The sequence below is a fragment of the Homo sapiens genome, chromosome 10 (genome assembly GCF_000001405.40).
Source record: "Homo sapiens chromosome 10, GRCh38.p14 Primary Assembly".
In the NCBI taxonomy this organism is placed as follows: domain Eukaryota; kingdom Metazoa; phylum Chordata; class Mammalia; order Primates; family Hominidae; genus Homo; species Homo sapiens.
In genome coordinates, this window is record NC_000010.11 from 68,997,686 (window position 1) to 69,013,874 (window position 16,189).

At 39.6% G+C, this 16,189-nt stretch overlaps 1 protein-coding gene across 2 annotated transcripts in view; it reads left to right on the top strand.

The window, feature by feature from the left end:
* KIFBP (kinesin family binding protein) overlaps positions 1 to 16,189 on the top strand; it is a 28,180-nt gene that overhangs the window by 8,883 nt on the left and 3,108 nt on the right. The window contains exons 2-6 of one of the 2 annotated variants that reach the window (NM_015634.4): positions 2,739 to 2,837; positions 7,361 to 7,440; positions 8,047 to 8,230; positions 11,156 to 11,240; positions 13,215 to 13,330. In NM_015634.4, coding sequence (NP_056449.1) covers positions 2,739 to 2,837; positions 7,361 to 7,440; positions 8,047 to 8,230; positions 11,156 to 11,240; positions 13,215 to 13,330 — 564 coding nt within the window. Of the gene's footprint in view, positions 1 to 2,738; positions 2,838 to 7,360; positions 7,441 to 8,046; positions 8,231 to 9,212; positions 10,067 to 11,155; positions 11,241 to 13,214; positions 13,331 to 16,189 lie in introns of those variants that run through there. The other variant, XM_017016067.2, reaches the window with a different exon arrangement.

Here is a 16,189-nt window from a genome sequence, read left to right on the forward strand (position 1 = left end):
GATCTTAGACCTACAGGCCACCTTTTCCTTACTCTTTAGTTCAACTTATTTCTCCTTTGATGATAGACAGTGCTTGGGAAACTCCTTTGACCATGACACCAGTAAGCCCCACTGCAGCACACTGCAACTAACCTAGGTAGTCTAGAGACTCACCTAGTACCAGAAACTGGTTAGTCACACTCTATTTTTGGGACAGGGTTGTGTTTGGCCTGCTATATTCAGGGTAGACTGTGCCACAGAAAGCAACAATTCTTGGTATGTGACAAATCTGAAACCATGAAACCATGATTGTAAGTTTCCCGAGGCCTCCCCAGCCATACCTCCTGTACAGCCTGTGGAACTGTGAGCCAATTAAACTTCTTTTCTTTATAAAGTATCTAGTCTCAGGTAGTTCTTTATAGCAATATGAGAATGGACTAATACAAAGGGCTCTGCCTTCCTAATAACTTACTGATTGGTCATGTTACATGTTAGTCAGGCTGGTCTTGAACTCCTGACCCCGTGACCTGCCCGCTTCAGCCTCCCAAAGTGCTGGGATTACAGGCGTGAGCCATTGCACCCAGCCCAAAAGATTTTTAAAACAAAATGTGTGATATAGTAATATATATGCTTCTTTATTAACACATTATATAATGTGTCTAATATCTATGATGATTGTAAAGTAATGATGAGCATAAATGATATTTTGAGATATCTGCAAACTAGCATAATAGAAAGGTTTTTTTTTTTCATTTCTATTGTTCACAAAGTCCCAGGTCCTATAATACTGCTACAATTTATTTCCTGTGTTCATAATGAAAAGAAATGCTGTATTTTAATAGGAGATTGGTGAAAAGAAATTTGTATTTTTTTCCCTGTCCAAATTCATGGACTCTGAATTCTCTTTATGGATGCCTTGGGGATCCTTAGACTTGAGGTTAAGAATTTCTGCATTAAAAACTTCCTTCCCTAGTGGCAAAAGATGGTAGAAGGCCAGCCTCAGAAGTATCCTTGTGCCTGAAGGACTGACTATTCCAAGGGAAGTGAGGTAGACTAACCCCACTACATACATACATACATACATACATATATGTATATATATATATATTTTTTTTTTTTTTTTTTTTTTGAGACAGAGTCTCAATCTGTAGCCCAGGCTGGAGTGCAGTGGCACGATCTCGGCTCACTGTAACCTCCACCTCCTGGGTTCAAGCAATTCTTCTGCCTCAGCCTCCCAAGTAGTTGGGATTACAGGCATCTGCCACCACACTCGGCTAAATTTTTTTTGTATTTTTCAGTAGAGATGGGGTTTCACCACGTTGGCCAGGCTGGTCTCGAACTCCTGACCTCAAGTGATCTGCCTACTTCGGCCTCCCAAAGTGCTGGGATTACAGGTGTGAGCCACTGTGCCGGGCCCATATATATAATTTTTTGGTTTTGGTTTTGTTTTTGAGACAGAGTCTTGCTCCATCACCCAGGTAGGAGTGCAATGGCACGATCTCGGCTCACTGCAACCTCTGCCTCCCAGGTTCAGGCAGTTCTCGTGCCTCAGCCCCCCAAGCAGCTGGGATTACAGGTGCACGCCACCACTCCTGGCTAATTTTTATGTTTTTAGTAGAGATGGGGTTTCACCATTTTGGCCAGGCCGGTCTTGAACTTCTCGCCTCAAGTGATCTGCCTGCCTCGGCCTCCCAAAGTGCTAGAATTACAGGCGTGAGCCACCATGCCTGGCCTATTTCTTTTTTTTTTAAAAAAAAAGTTCTCTGGAAGAGCATAGTATTTTGAAAGTATTATATGTTTCTGATCCATCTTTGTCTATTATCTCAGAATCTCACCATGGCTTAGCTGATTGTTCCTTACTCAAAGGCCCACATCATATTGTTGACCTGCTGGGGCTCGCAGTAATACTTGAAGACTGGGACGCCGGGAGGATCCATTTCCAACTTACTCACATGGTTGTTGGCAGGATTCAGTTCCTCACAGGCTTTTTGACTGAGGGCCTCAGACTGTTGACCTCTCTCATTTCCTTTCCATATGGGCTTCTCCATAGGGTGGCTCACAACATGGCAGTTGGCTTCCTTAAGAAGGAGCAGGCAATTGACCGGGCGCGGTGGCTGACGCCTGTAATCCCAGCACTTTGGGAGGCTGAGGTGGGTGGATCATGAGGTCAGGAGATTGAGACCATCCTGGCTAAAACGGTGAAACCCCGTCTCTACTAAAAATACAAAAAATTAGCCGGGCGTGATTGCGGGCGCCTGTAGTCCCAGCTACTTGGGAGGCTGAGGCAGAAGAATGGTATGAACCTGGGAGGCAGAGCTTGCAGTGAGCTGAGACCATGCCACTGCACTCCATCCTGGGCGACAGAGCGAGACTCCGTCTCAAAAAAAAAAAAAAAAAAAAAGCAGGCAATAGATAGCATCCAAAATGGAAATCAAGGGTTTTGTTAACTAATCTTGGAAATGACTTTCCATCACTTCTGTGATAGTCTAGTCGTGAGAAGCACATCACTAAAACCAGCCTGTACTCAAGGGGAAGAGGTTACCTAAGAGCATGAATACCCCGAAGCAGGGATCATTGGGGGTTAATTTTAGCAGCTACCTGCTGCACTACATAAGGTCAATATCATTGTGAATAATTAATTCATTGGTAATCCAACTCTACTATTTGGTTGGTTATAAGTATTGACTTCAAAACTATGAAAGTTACTTTAATTGGAAGTCTTATATCATTGTTTGTTTCTCTTTTTCTTTATTTTCCAGAATAACCTGGGTATCTTGTGGTCTGAAAGAGAAGAAATTGAAACTGCACAGGCTTACCTAGAGTCATCAGAAGCACTATATAATCAGTATATGAAAGAGGTATGTTACATGTCAGATGAGTTTTAAGTTTTGATTGAAACTAGTTAAGAATTGATAGTAAGAATCCCTCATTCGTAATATTGGTGTGACTCTTCACTGTGCCCTAGAACTTCTCTATAGAGCCATCTGGGAAGTCACCTCATAGCTGAAATTATTGCATATTAAAGACTTCAGGGTTTTAAAAAAATAATCCTTGTATAGGACATAATGGCCACCTAGTCTAAATACAATTATAAAGGAAATATTATTCTAGTGTTATCCTAAAATACTATTTGCATGTTTTTGTATTTATAATCTAAACATTCTATTTTAGTTTTCCATGAAAATAGCACTACTTGAAGGAAACAAGAACTACTTTAACAAAACATCTGAAATCTTTGAAGCAATGGTTCTCAAATGTTAGCACCCATCAAAATCTGGAGAGCTCATGAAAGCACAGCAGACTGGGCATCCAGGCTCTGATTTAGTAGTTCTGGGGTGGGGCCTAGGAATTTGCATTTTTAATAAGATCCTGCCTGGGTGATGCTTAAATGCTGCTGGTCTAAGTACTATACTGTACTTTGAGAACCACTGCTTCAGGGCAATGGTTTTTCAATGATTTTTTTTTTTTTTAACCCGTGAAACCCTTCTGAAAATGCAGCATATAAAAATTGATTGAGTTACTCTGGTTAAGCAGGTTAGAAGGACCCAGAGCCCACTCCACTACAGATTCTTCCTCCTCCCCACTGCAGTAGCACAAAAGAGATGCTGTAGAACTTTTAGGGGTCTGGGGAGCCAACATTGAAAACTCTCACTTTAGGGGTCACAGCCTGCAAAGGTGACAAGCCACTGTGTTACCATCTGTTTCCTTAATAAACTTTTTTTTAATATGAAAGGGAAATAATCAGGCACAATATTTTCTTGTGGATTACTATTTGTCACAGCTATCTGCTTTAAAAATCCATTAATACGGCTGAGCATGGTGGCTCATGCCTGTAATCCCAGCATTTTGGGAGGCCGAGGCAGGTGGATCACTTGAGATCAGGAATTCGAGACCAGCTTGGGCAACATGGTGAAATCCCATCTCTACTAAAAATACAAAACAGCAGGCATGGTGGCGCACGCCTGTAGTCCCAGCTACTCAGGAGACTGAGGCAGGAGAATCGTTTGAACCTGGGAGGCAGAGGCTGCAGTGAACTGAGATCACGCCACTGCACTCCGGCCTGGGCGACAGTGAGACCCTGTCTCAAAAAAAAAAAAAATCCATTAATAAAGTGCTTTTATAACATTAAAAAAGTTGAAATAACATTAGATATCACATAAAAGAGACTAAACATACAAAATTATGTTTGCTAAATTCATGCGTCAGAATGCTTGACTGCAAAAGGATATAAGAAGCTTGGTATGCCTGTAATCCCAGCACTTTGGGAGGCTGAGGCTGGAGGATCACTTGAGCCCAGGAGTTTGAGACCAGCCTGCGCAACACAGGAAGACCTCATCACTACAAAAAATTAAAAAATTTGCCAGATGTGGCACACACTGTAGTTTTAGCTACTTGGGAGATTGAGGCAGGAGGGTCGCTTGAGCCCAGGAGTTTGAGGTTGCAGTGAGCTATCATCGAACCACTGTACTCCAGCCTGGGTGACAGAGCAAGATTCTGTCTTTTTTTTTTTTTTGAGATGGAGTCTCGCTCTGTTGTCCAGGCTGGAGTGCAGTGGCGTGATCTCGGCTCACTGCAACCTCCACCTCTTGAGTTCAAGTAATTCTCCTGCCTCAGCCTCCCAAGTGGCTGAGATTATAGGTGCCCGCCACCATTCCCAGCTAATTTTTGTATTTTTATAGAGACCGGGTTTCACCATGTTGCCAGGCTGGTCTCAAACTCCTGACCTCAAGTGATCCGCCCACCTCAGCCTCCCAAAGTGCTGGGATTACAGGCATAAGCCACCATGCCCAGCCTCGTACCTTGGCATTTTAACTTTCTTCCTGAAGTACTAACAAGAGCAGAGTGCCACAAAACCAAATAGAGATATTAGTCTACCCTTTCTTGCTTTTAGGCTCACAGTCTTATATGTGAAATTGTTAATTTAAAATGTAAGGTCTGAGGCCAGGCACAGTGGCTCACGCCTTTAATCCCAGCACTTTGGGAGGCTGAGGTGGGTGGATTGCCTGACTTAGAGGTTCAAAGATCAGCCTGGGCCACATAGTGATACGCTGTCTCTACAAAAACTAAAAAAAAATTAGCTGGGTGTGGTGGCGTGTGCTTGTGGTCCCAGCTACTTCGGGGGCTGAGGTGGGAGGATGGCTTGAGTCCGGGAGGGCAGTCCAGGAGGTCAAAGCAGCAGTGAGCGAGGATCCTGCCACTGCACGCCAGCCTAGGTAACCAAATAAGACCCTGTCTCAAAAATAAGTAAAATAAAATGTAAAAGCTGAACACGGTGACTTACACTTATAATCCCAGCACTTTGGGAGGCCGAGGTGGGAAGATTGCTTGATGCCAGGAGTTCAAGACCAACATGAGCAACAAAGCAAGAACCCGTCTTTACAAAAAAAAAAAAAAAAAAAGTTACTAAGCATCAATAGTATTTCATTAAAAATAGTATTTGTATGGAAACATAACACATATAGTGAAATTCCTTGTGTTTAGTTGTACCTCTGTTTCAGTTAAGAGACTGATTTGACTGTATTAATATTACGTATGATGTGTGAAAGCCATAACAGTGAAGTATGTACATAAAATAATATATTGATTAATTCCCCTCATCTAGACAGGGGTAAGCATGGTAAGCAGCCCTCGGAATTGTTGAAGAGTTCTCTGAAGAATTACTTATCTATTGTGTTTGCCTTGGGCCTTGCTTCCTGTCTTAGTTGTTTTTACTTTATGTGAATCCTGGGAGCCCACGTTGTGATGCTTTTAGTGTTTACATCCAGAATGTAAAATCATATTTTTATGAAAGACGTTGTTCCTTTTTGAGTTTAATGAATTCAGTTAAAAGCAAGAGTGTGTTTCTAGATGGGACTATCCTCATAGAAGTAGAATGAGGCAGAGGTTAGGTAGTTCTGTTTTGGAAGACGTAAGAGGGGGTTGTAAGTGATTTATAAATATTACTTAATCCTCATGAGATAGATACTGTTATTACCCTTATTTTATAGATGACTAAACAGAAGCACAAGAGATCAAGTGACTTGCCCAAGGCAATAAATAATGGAATCTGGTTTTAATGTCCCTGTATTGAAAGGGGGTAATACACTTTTGTTATTTCCTTGAGAAAAAAATATTAGAATAAATATTAAAATCTCTCATTTGATTTTTATTAGTGGTCAGTTTAGAATACTACTACTGTAGAAATATATACATTTTTCCTATTTGTTTTGCTTATGCATGTTTTTAAAAGAGCCCTTTTACCAGACAAAATTGCCATTTGAAATACTTAAAGAGGGGTCGGGCACGGTGGCTTACACCTGTAATCCCAGCACTTTGCGGGGGCCGAGGCAGGCGGATCATGAGATCAAGAGATTGAGACCATCCTGGCCAACATGGAGAAACCCCGTCTCTACTAAAAATACAAAAATTAGCTGGGGGTGGTGGCACGTGTCTGTAATCCTAGCTACCCAGGAGGTTAAGGCAGGTGAATCGCTTGAACCCGGGAGGCGGAGGTTGCAGTGAGCCGAGATCGCACCACTGCACTCCAGCCTGGCAAAAGAGCGAGACTCCATCTCCAAAAAAAAAAAAAAAAAAAAAAACTTAAAGAGGCTGGGCACCTTAGCTCATGCCTGTAGTTTCAGCACTTTGGGAGGCTGAGGCAGGAGGATCACTGGAGGCTAGGAGTTCAAGACCAGCCTGGGCAACAGAGCAAGACCCCCATCTCTAAATAAATAAATAAGAATTAAAAAAAGAAAAAATACTTCAAGAATTATATATGTCTAAAAGCAGATTGGTGGATTTTTTGCATATTTGCAGTTTAACTGCAACAACAGTAAAATTTTGTCAAATGTGAACTTTTGACATTTGGTTAAAACAAATAAAAGGGTATCTTTTATTTGTTTGACTCAGATTTTATGGTTAAGAAAATTACTTGTTGAGGCGGGTGCAGTGGCTCACGCCTATAATCCTAGCACTTTGGGAGGCCAAGGCAGGTGGATTGCTTGAGCCCAGGAGTTTTAAGACCAGTCTGGGCAACATAGCGAAACCCTGTCTCTACAAAAAATATAAAAATTAGCCAGGACTGGTGGTGCACACCTGTGGTTCCAGCTACTCAGGAGGCTGAGGTAGGAGGATTGCTTGAGGTGGGAGGATCGGGAGACGGAGGTTACAGTAAGCCGAGATTGTGCCACTCCACTCCAGCCTGGGTGACAGAGACCCTGTCTCAATAAATAAATAAAAATTTAAAAAACAGAAAATTACTTCTTGAGTAACATAAAAATGAACTAGGAAAAAATGAAATGTATTTGGCTTGTAGAAGTTGATTTCTCCAGGTCCTCCAGAAGAGGGCACTTGGTGTTTACAGTTTAAAACTTTAAAGAGCTTTTGTTTTTCTTAATTGTAGGTTGGGAGTCCTCCTCTTGATCCTACTGAGCGTTTTCTTCCTGAAGAAGAGAAACTTACTGAACAAGAGAGATCAAAAAGGTGAGTAGGTATAGAAATCAGCCCTTGCAAATATTTCCACATATCATAGATTAGTGATTGTTCAAAAAGTCACTTATAAAGGTTATAGAATGTGGATTCTGACAGGAGTAAAACCTCCATTTACCACTTACTTGTTATTTGACCTTGTTCAAACCTGAGACTCAGTTTCCTTATCTGTCAAATAGATACAATAAACAAATCCAACTCAAAGGGTTGGTGGGATAATCAAAATAAATATATATGAAATTTACTTATAAAACGTAAACCATGGTCCGGACACGGTGGCTTACACCTGTAATCCCAGCACTTTGGGAGGCTGAGGCGGGTGGATCACAAGGTCAGGAGTTCAAGACTGGCCTGACTATTATGGTGAAACCCCGTCTCTACCAAAAATACAAAAATTAGCCAGGCATGGTGGCAGGCGCCTGTAATCCCAGCTACTCGGGAGGCTGAGGCAGGAGAATTGCTTGAACCCAGGAGGCGGAGGCAGTGAGCCAAGATCGTGCCACTGTACTCCAGCCTGGGCAACAGAGCGAGACTCTGTCTCAGGAAAAAAAAAAAACAAGTAAACCATTACACAAATATTGGTTTATTTTTTCTTTACAGATTTGAAAAGGTTTATACTCATAACCTATATTACCTAGCTCAAGTCTACCAGCATCTGGAAATGTTTGAGAAGGCTGCTCACTATTGCCATAGTACACTAAAACGCCAGCTTGAGCACAATGCCTACCATCCTATAGAGTGGGCTATCAATGCTGCTACCTTGTCACAGTTTTACATCAATAAGGTAAGCTTCTTGAAGTAGTTATCTAACAGAGTACCAATAGTGAGTATAAAAATAGAACCAGTAGTACCTTGAAAATACTATCTTTTAAAAACAGGTAGCTTGTATTTTATGATGTACAACTGAAGCCGAAAATGCAGCCCAGTTTGCCCGTGTACTAAAATTTTGTAGCTTTTTGTTGTATGAATTATTTTGAGTTTTAAAATACCGAGTTTTATCATTGTTTTACATGTTACCTAAGACCAATTCTTTTTTTAACATAGGCACGCTATCTCAACTCATTTTAGTGAGATATTACCTTAAATTGCAGATTTTACCTTGTAGATATAGCTTTATCTTTACGTAATGGTAATCTCATAACTCTGAGAATTTGACTGAGGAAGTTGACTGTTAAATGTGGGCTTTGATAAAAGCATGTGATGCATTTCAGTTATTTTTCAGAATTAACTCTGTAATAATTTTTTAATGTTGGAAATATGTCTGCTGAGTTCCAAAGTTCTAGGTCTTTATACCATACTTCTTTTGGATTGTTACACAGGGACAATGTTTTTGAGCTTCTTAGTTGTTTATCAGAATTTCTCATAAAAATTTAAAAAAGCATTGCTCACATCATGTTGGTGTACTCTTAATTGACCCATTTATTCCTTTAATCCTTGAGAGTTTTTAATGCTAAAATAATTTTACACCACCTTTTCTAACCAGATTTTCCTATTAATCCTTAATAAGACATCTCAGCAATATAAATTACTTTTATTTATATTTCGAATTCGCAAGCCTCTCTGAAATTTTGGTAGTTCTCTGCTTATCAGAGTTCCTTCTTTCATCTCTCTGGTAACCCGCTGCCTTATCCTTGGGCCTTTATCCTTTTTGAGCATTTCGTTAGCGTTGGTTCTGTAAATGCGCCCGATGATTAAAGTATTGTCCCACAGAATTTCATTCAGAAAAGCTATTAGCAGGAGAGAAAGGGCTGTGGTGACTGCAGCATCGCTTCTAGGACTTTGGTCTAAGATCAAGTGTGTAAGTAACGCTACTGCATATATCAGAGCATTCAGTTAACTAATTCTCATGAATCCATTTCATTGTCCTCATCCAAAGTGTTATCCAGTGCCTCCGCTTGTGACATCTTTTTTACAGCTGTTGGAGGCCCCTTATTCATTCTGTTTAGCAACTTTAAAATTACATATTCACTGTGACTTTAATTTATACTTAAAACTCCATGGAAATTGGCAGTACTAAGATATCTAGATATTAAAGTGTGATTAAAATTTAAAGTTGTTAAGCATTACTTATGTGGAGCATGCAGTAATTTTCATGAGACCTCCCACACCCTGCACTTTTATTTTTTTACCAAAATCTTTTTTAAGTTTTTGTTAAAACCAACTAAGTCGTATTGCAAAAAGAGGGATTTGAACCATGTTTTTAAAAATGCAATTGTCATTTATATCATTGTCATCTTCATCTGATTCCAGTGATGAGGTTTTGCTACTTGGTGAATCCCTACCTGGCAGCTGCTAAAGTCCCACATTTACCAGCCACCTAGAGGGCATAAGACACTCACTGTTCTAGCAGTGGTTGCTCACAGGGAGCCAATCTGGACAAAGCTGAAATGACGATAAATGTTAAGGGATTGGATTATAGAGAGATAATTAAAGTTTCATTATATAAACTCTAACTTTCTTTTGGCTTTTAAGATTTAACACATTTTTATCTATAGATGTTGCTGGGCTAATACTACACGTGTCCAGCTATTCTCAAGATGGCTTCTGAATTTGCCATAATGGAAAGATACATTTAATGCTGCAATTTTAAAGTTATAGCCAACCATTTAAAGCCTTTCAGGTATTACTAATATTAAGTAGACATTCTATTTAATGAGGGTGGCTTCCAACTAAAAGTTGGACTTTAACTTTGAACTTCTGCTGGGTGGTCCTTTGACTTACATGACAAATACAAAATGTTTCTATTAACAAGGAGATCTTCTCTAATTGTTTGAGAAGTTTGCCATGCCCGGAATTGAATTATGAAGTCTTCAAGAGTGTTGGTAAAGCAGTTCCATAAGGTTCATCTGTAGAAGTCTGTTGACTTTAAAACTTGGTGGGAAGCCTTATTGTATGTAAAGTTTAAAGATTTTAGAACACAGGAATATCTTCTTACCTGAGTTTATCCTATTTGCCTTTGTATAGTAGGATGTAAAGGGGCTCTCTAAACCTAATAAAAATTAAATCCTCAGGCTGGGCAAGGTGGCTTACATCTATAACCCCAGCACCCTGGGAGGCCAAGGTGGGAGCATTGCTTCAGGCCAGGAGTTGGAGACCTGTTTAGGCAACATAGAGAAACCCCAGAATTAGTCAGGCTTGGAGGCTAAAGGTGGGAGGATCCCTTAAGACCAGGAGGTTGAGGCTGCAGTGAACTATGATTGTGCCACTGCACTCCAGCCTTGGGCCAGAGTGAGACCCCTGTCTCGTAAAAAAAAAAAAAAATATATATATATATATATATATATATATTCAGTCTTCTGACACAATGTAAATAGTCTAAGAATTTATTGTGCATGGGATTTTGGCTACTTAGACTGAACCTAAAGGAGTTTTTGAGACAGTTTAAGTCTAGGATGACAGCCATTCCTGTATATCTATTGATTGTATAAGGAGAGCTAACTTTCAGTTGGCAGTTGTCTTTCAATCCGAGTGGATTATTATTAAGAGTTTGGGGGCATTAATATTTTAACCTTTGAGGTTACATTTTAACCAGATAATATGATAATATATCTTTTGTACCTTCTGAATGATCTGCAACTCTACAGGGCCTCCTTTGTAGTATTTTTATCTGATTTTATACCTTTTCCCATATTAAAAGAAATTATGCAAGTATCAGTTGCAAATAAAGCTGTGTGATAGTTGCATTCACTGTTGTTTATTTCCCCAATAGCTATGCTTTATGGAGGCCAGGCACTGTTTATCAGCTGCTAATGTCATTTTTGGTCAAACTGGAAAGATCTCAGCCACAGAAGACAGTAAGTTTACCTTTGCATGTTTTACATAGCTTTTAAAAAAAGTTTTATTTTGAAATTATTTTAAACTTTTGAAAAGTTGCAAGAACAGAAGAGCTATCATATGCCCTTCTAAATGCACCAATTTTTAGTATTTTCCTCGCTTGGAATCAAATTTTATTTTTCTCTCTGAACCATTGGAGAGAAGGTTACATACATTAGGCTCTTTTACCCTTTCATACTTTAGTATATATTTCCTAAGAAGAATATTTTCTTACATAATCATAGATCATTTATCAAATTCAAGAAATGTAACATTGGCCAGGCATGGTGGCCCACGCCTGTAATGCTAGATTTTGGGAGGCCAAGATGGGAGGGGCCAGGAGTTCAAGACAAGCCTGATCAACATAGTGAGACCCCATCTCTATGTTTTTAAAGAAATTAAAAAAAAAAAAGTAACATTGATACAATTCTTTTATCTACACTGCATATTTCTATTTCATCAGTTGTTGCCATAATATTCCTTCTAGCATTTGTTTGCCAGTACTGGATTATACAGTTCAAGATTGCATAATGCATTCAGTTGTCACATCTCTTCAGGCATTTTTCGTCTGGAATTGTTCCTCAGCCTTTCTTTCCCTTTCATCACTTAATATTAAGAATATAGGCCAGTTATTTCATAGAATTACTGCCAGCTGGGGTTTGTGTGATGTTTCCTTATGCCATGATTCAGATGATATATTTTTGGTTGGAATACTACATGCATAAGCGATGTTGCCAAATACCCATCTTTTTAAGTATAGTGTTTCCTTTAGTCTTAGAAAATCACAGTTAACATGTGTCTTTGAGTCATTTAACAGGTTTTTTAATAAGTTCATCATTTTCTTTAAAAATAGTTTATTTTTAAAAATAGTTTGATTCTATTGCTCACTGTTGAACAGTTTCCAACCTTCTTACGATGTTTTAGATTTTGAAACATCATGTCTTCCTTACAAATGGACATTCTAATTGTGGATCTGAAAAATGCAGAGACTCTTAAGAGCTAAAGGAATGTACATTATCAAAGTAAATAGTTGCTTTCTCCCCTAATATATTAACTACATTAATTATAGATTAGTTGAAGTCTAAGAGGCACTTGTCTCAAAAAATGAATAAAAACTAAATTGCTGAGATATTATTTAATAATTCACTTTATTTAAAGTAATATCGTGAGATATTATTTTGTTTTTACTCTTCATAATAGCTGAAAAAATGACAGTGACCAGTGTTTTCAAAATGTTCTTATTGAGCATTCTCATATATTGTTGGTTGGCATATTTGTTGAAAATAATTTGGCTGTATGTTGTGAATTATTTAAAATTGTGTAAACTCTTTTACTCAGTAAATTCCACTTCTAGGAATCTGCCCTAAGGAAGAAATCCAAAATCCAGACAGATTTTTGCACAATTATACTCATGTTTCAAGTTTAAAAAAAATGTGTGTATGTGTATAAACTTTACAAAGCTTTGTGTTGACAGCTGACTTTGTAGATTACAGCAAGAAAGCTGCTCTGCTATGTATGACACTCTGACCCAGAAGCAGGTCATCTGAATAGTTTAGCACCAGGTTCTCCACAACCATCTGTTGTGTGACATAGACGTTTTTGTGATAGTAAAGAATTGGAAACAACAAATTCCAGGTTAGAATTAGAAGAATGGTTAAATAATAGAATATCTATTTAATTGTATATAATGGTGTACTTAAAAATGAAGCTAAGAGTTGATAATGATATGAGTAAAGTGTTTGTGGTGCGAGAAAGAAATATGCAAAAATAATAGTGAGTGCTTCTGGGTAGTAGGATTTGGGGGGGGATCTTTCTTCCCTTTTCCCCAAGCCCCCTGCTTCAGTAAAGATCTGTTACTTTTATAGTCAGGAAAAAGTGATATTAAAAAAATTACAGTACCCAATGAAAATTACAGTTGTGACCATTAACTTAAACAAATCACATGTATATTTTAGCTCCTGAAGCTGAAGGAGAAGTGCCAGAGCTTTATCATCAAAGAAAGGGGGAAATAGCAAGGTGCTGGATCAAATACTGTTTGACTCTCATGCAGAATGCCCAACTCTCCATGCAGGTAATGCAGTCAGAAGCTGCCTTTTTCTTTCTTAAATGAGGAAATTGTAAGTAAAAACTCATAGTGGGGATTGTGCTCATTGGGGTCACATTGTGTTTAATATGAAAGGTGTGTAGAATGTTTTCGTAAATATTTCTTTCTTGGTTTTAAATCGTATTCTTCGAATTGCTTGAATCCGGGAGGCAGAGGCTGCGTGAGCCGAGATTGGACCACTGCACTCCAGCCTGGGCAACAGAGCGAGACTCCATCTCTAAATAAATAAATAAATAAAATAAATCTTACTCATCATTCAAGGCCTATCTTAAATACTACCTCTTCCTTGAAGACTTTTCTTTGGTTAGAATATAAGCTTCTTGAGAGCTGGGAACGATATCATATTCTTTTTTTTTTTTTTTTTAGACAGGCTCTCGCTCTGTTTCCCAGGCTGGAGTGTGGTGGCGTGATCATGGGTCACTGCAACCTTGGTCTCCCCGGCTCATGCAGTCCTCCCACCTCATCCTTGGAGTACAGGCGTGTGCCACCATATCCAGTTAATTTTTAAATTATTTTGTAGAGACTGGCTCTCACTGTGTTGCCAAGGCTGGTCTTGAACTCCTGGGCTCAAGTGATCTTCCTGCCTTGGCCTCCCAAAGTGCTGGGATTACAGGTGTGAGCCACTGTGCCTAATCTTTTTTTTTTTTTTTTTTTTTTTTTTTTTGAGACGGAGTTTTGCTCTGTCGCCCGTGCTGGAGTGCAGTGGTGTGATCGCAGCTGCAACCTCTGCTTCCTGGGTTCAAAGGATTCTCCTGCCTCAGCCTCCTGAGTAGCTGGGATTACAGGTGCCTGCCACCATGCCTGGCTAATTTTTGTCTTTTTAGTGTAGATGGGGTTTCACCATTTTGGCCAAGCTGGTCTCGAACTCCTGACCTCAAGTGATCCATCCATCTCGGCCTCCCAAAGTGCTGGGATTACAGGTGTGAGCAACCACACCTGGCCAAGCCCTTACTAATCTTTATATACTTCCCAGTGTTATCTTACACACAGCATGGACTTGATAAAATCTAAAAGGGTAGACTTTTAAGAAATAGCTCATGTAATAGTTCAAAAATAGAAGCAGAACTGATGGCAGTGAAGAGCATGGACTTGAAATACACTAGGTAGGTATGAACTCCAGCTCTGCCGCTTCGTAGCTATGTCTTTGTGGCAATTTACTTAATATATTTTTGCCTCTATTTCCTCACAAGTAAGTTGGAGATAATAGTACTTAATACTGTTGTTATGGGAGTTAAGTCAGTATATATTAAGGCCTCGGAAAAGTGCCTGAGACATACTAAGTCCTTAATAAATGTTAACTACCATCATCATTATTAATTTATGCCCAATCCTAGTTTCTAAGCACTAGGGAGGATAATAAAATTAATCATTTAGATGCAATATACTAAGTGTAGATACATAGGAAGATTTCCTGGGGGATTCATTGTGCTTTTATTTTTTTATATTGTGTATTAAAGTATGATAATTTTTTTTTTTTACATGGGACTCTGCTTGATAAAAGTATAATAATCTTTAGTGGTTGTATTAGTCTGTTCTCACACTGCTATAAAGAACTACTTGAGGCCAGGTACAGCGCCTCATGCCTATAATCCCAGCACTTTGGGAGGCCAAGGTGGGTGGATCACTTGAGCCCATGAGTTTGAGACCAGCCTAGACAACATGTTGAAACCCTGTCTCTACCAAAAATACAAAAAATTAGCCAGGCATGGTGGTGTGCACCTATAGTCCCAGCTACTGGGGAGGCTGAGGCAGGAGAATCACTTGAGCCCAGGAGGCAGAAGTTGCAGTGAGCCAAGACTGCACCACTGCACTCCAGCCTGGGTAACAAAACAAAAGAACTACCTGAGACTGGGTAATTTATGAAGAAAAGAGGTTAATTGACTCACAGTTCCTCAGGCTTAACAGGAAGCATGACTAGGAGCCCTCAGGAAACTTAGAATCATGGCGGAAGGCGAAAGAGAAGCAAGCATGTCTTACCATGGCAAGCAGGAGAGAGAGAGAGGGCAAAGGGGGAAATGCCACACACTTCAAAACCATCAGATCTCATGAGAGAGCTCACTCATTACCACAAGAACAGCAAGGAGGAAATCTGCCCCCAGTGATCCAGTCACCTCCCACCAGGTCCCTCCTCCAATTTAATGTGAGATTTGGCCAGGGACACAAATCCAAACCATATCAGTGGTAAATAATATAGAACCTTGTGAAACTACTAAACGAAAGAAAACCAAACAAACAAACCTCAACACATCAGAAGCATAGGTCTTGAAAAGATGAAGATAATTTTAGAGGTCAGAGGGTAAAGAGGAGGCATATTAAGGAAAGACAGGAAGTAGGGAGAATAACTGTGGGGCTTTATGTGTAGAGAATTTGGAGCCAGGAAGAGCTGTCAAGTTTATTCTGGTCAGGTAAAGAAAGCTGGAAAAGGAGGGTTGCAGGGACTATTGGAGCAAAACAGTAGGCTAATTTAAATAAGCATCCTAGAGAGAACATGTAAGTAAACAAGCAGCCCAAGAAGGAAGGAAGTATACAAGATTTAGAGACTTATGATCTACATTTGAAGTAATTGTGTCAAGCAAATCGCACTATGATTTGACCCTTACCTTTCATTTAGTTGATGTTTCTAGTCTGGGAACTTAAAACTTCATCACTTGGTTAGTTTAAACTCACATATTTGCCATGCTACTAAACTACTCAGATTTTCCTTAAACCCAGTTTTGTTTTTTGAGATGGGGTTTCTGTCACCCGGGCTGGAGTGCAGTGGCATGATCTCCACTCACTGCATCCTCCACCTCCCTGGCTCAAGCAGTCCTCCTACATCAGCCTGCC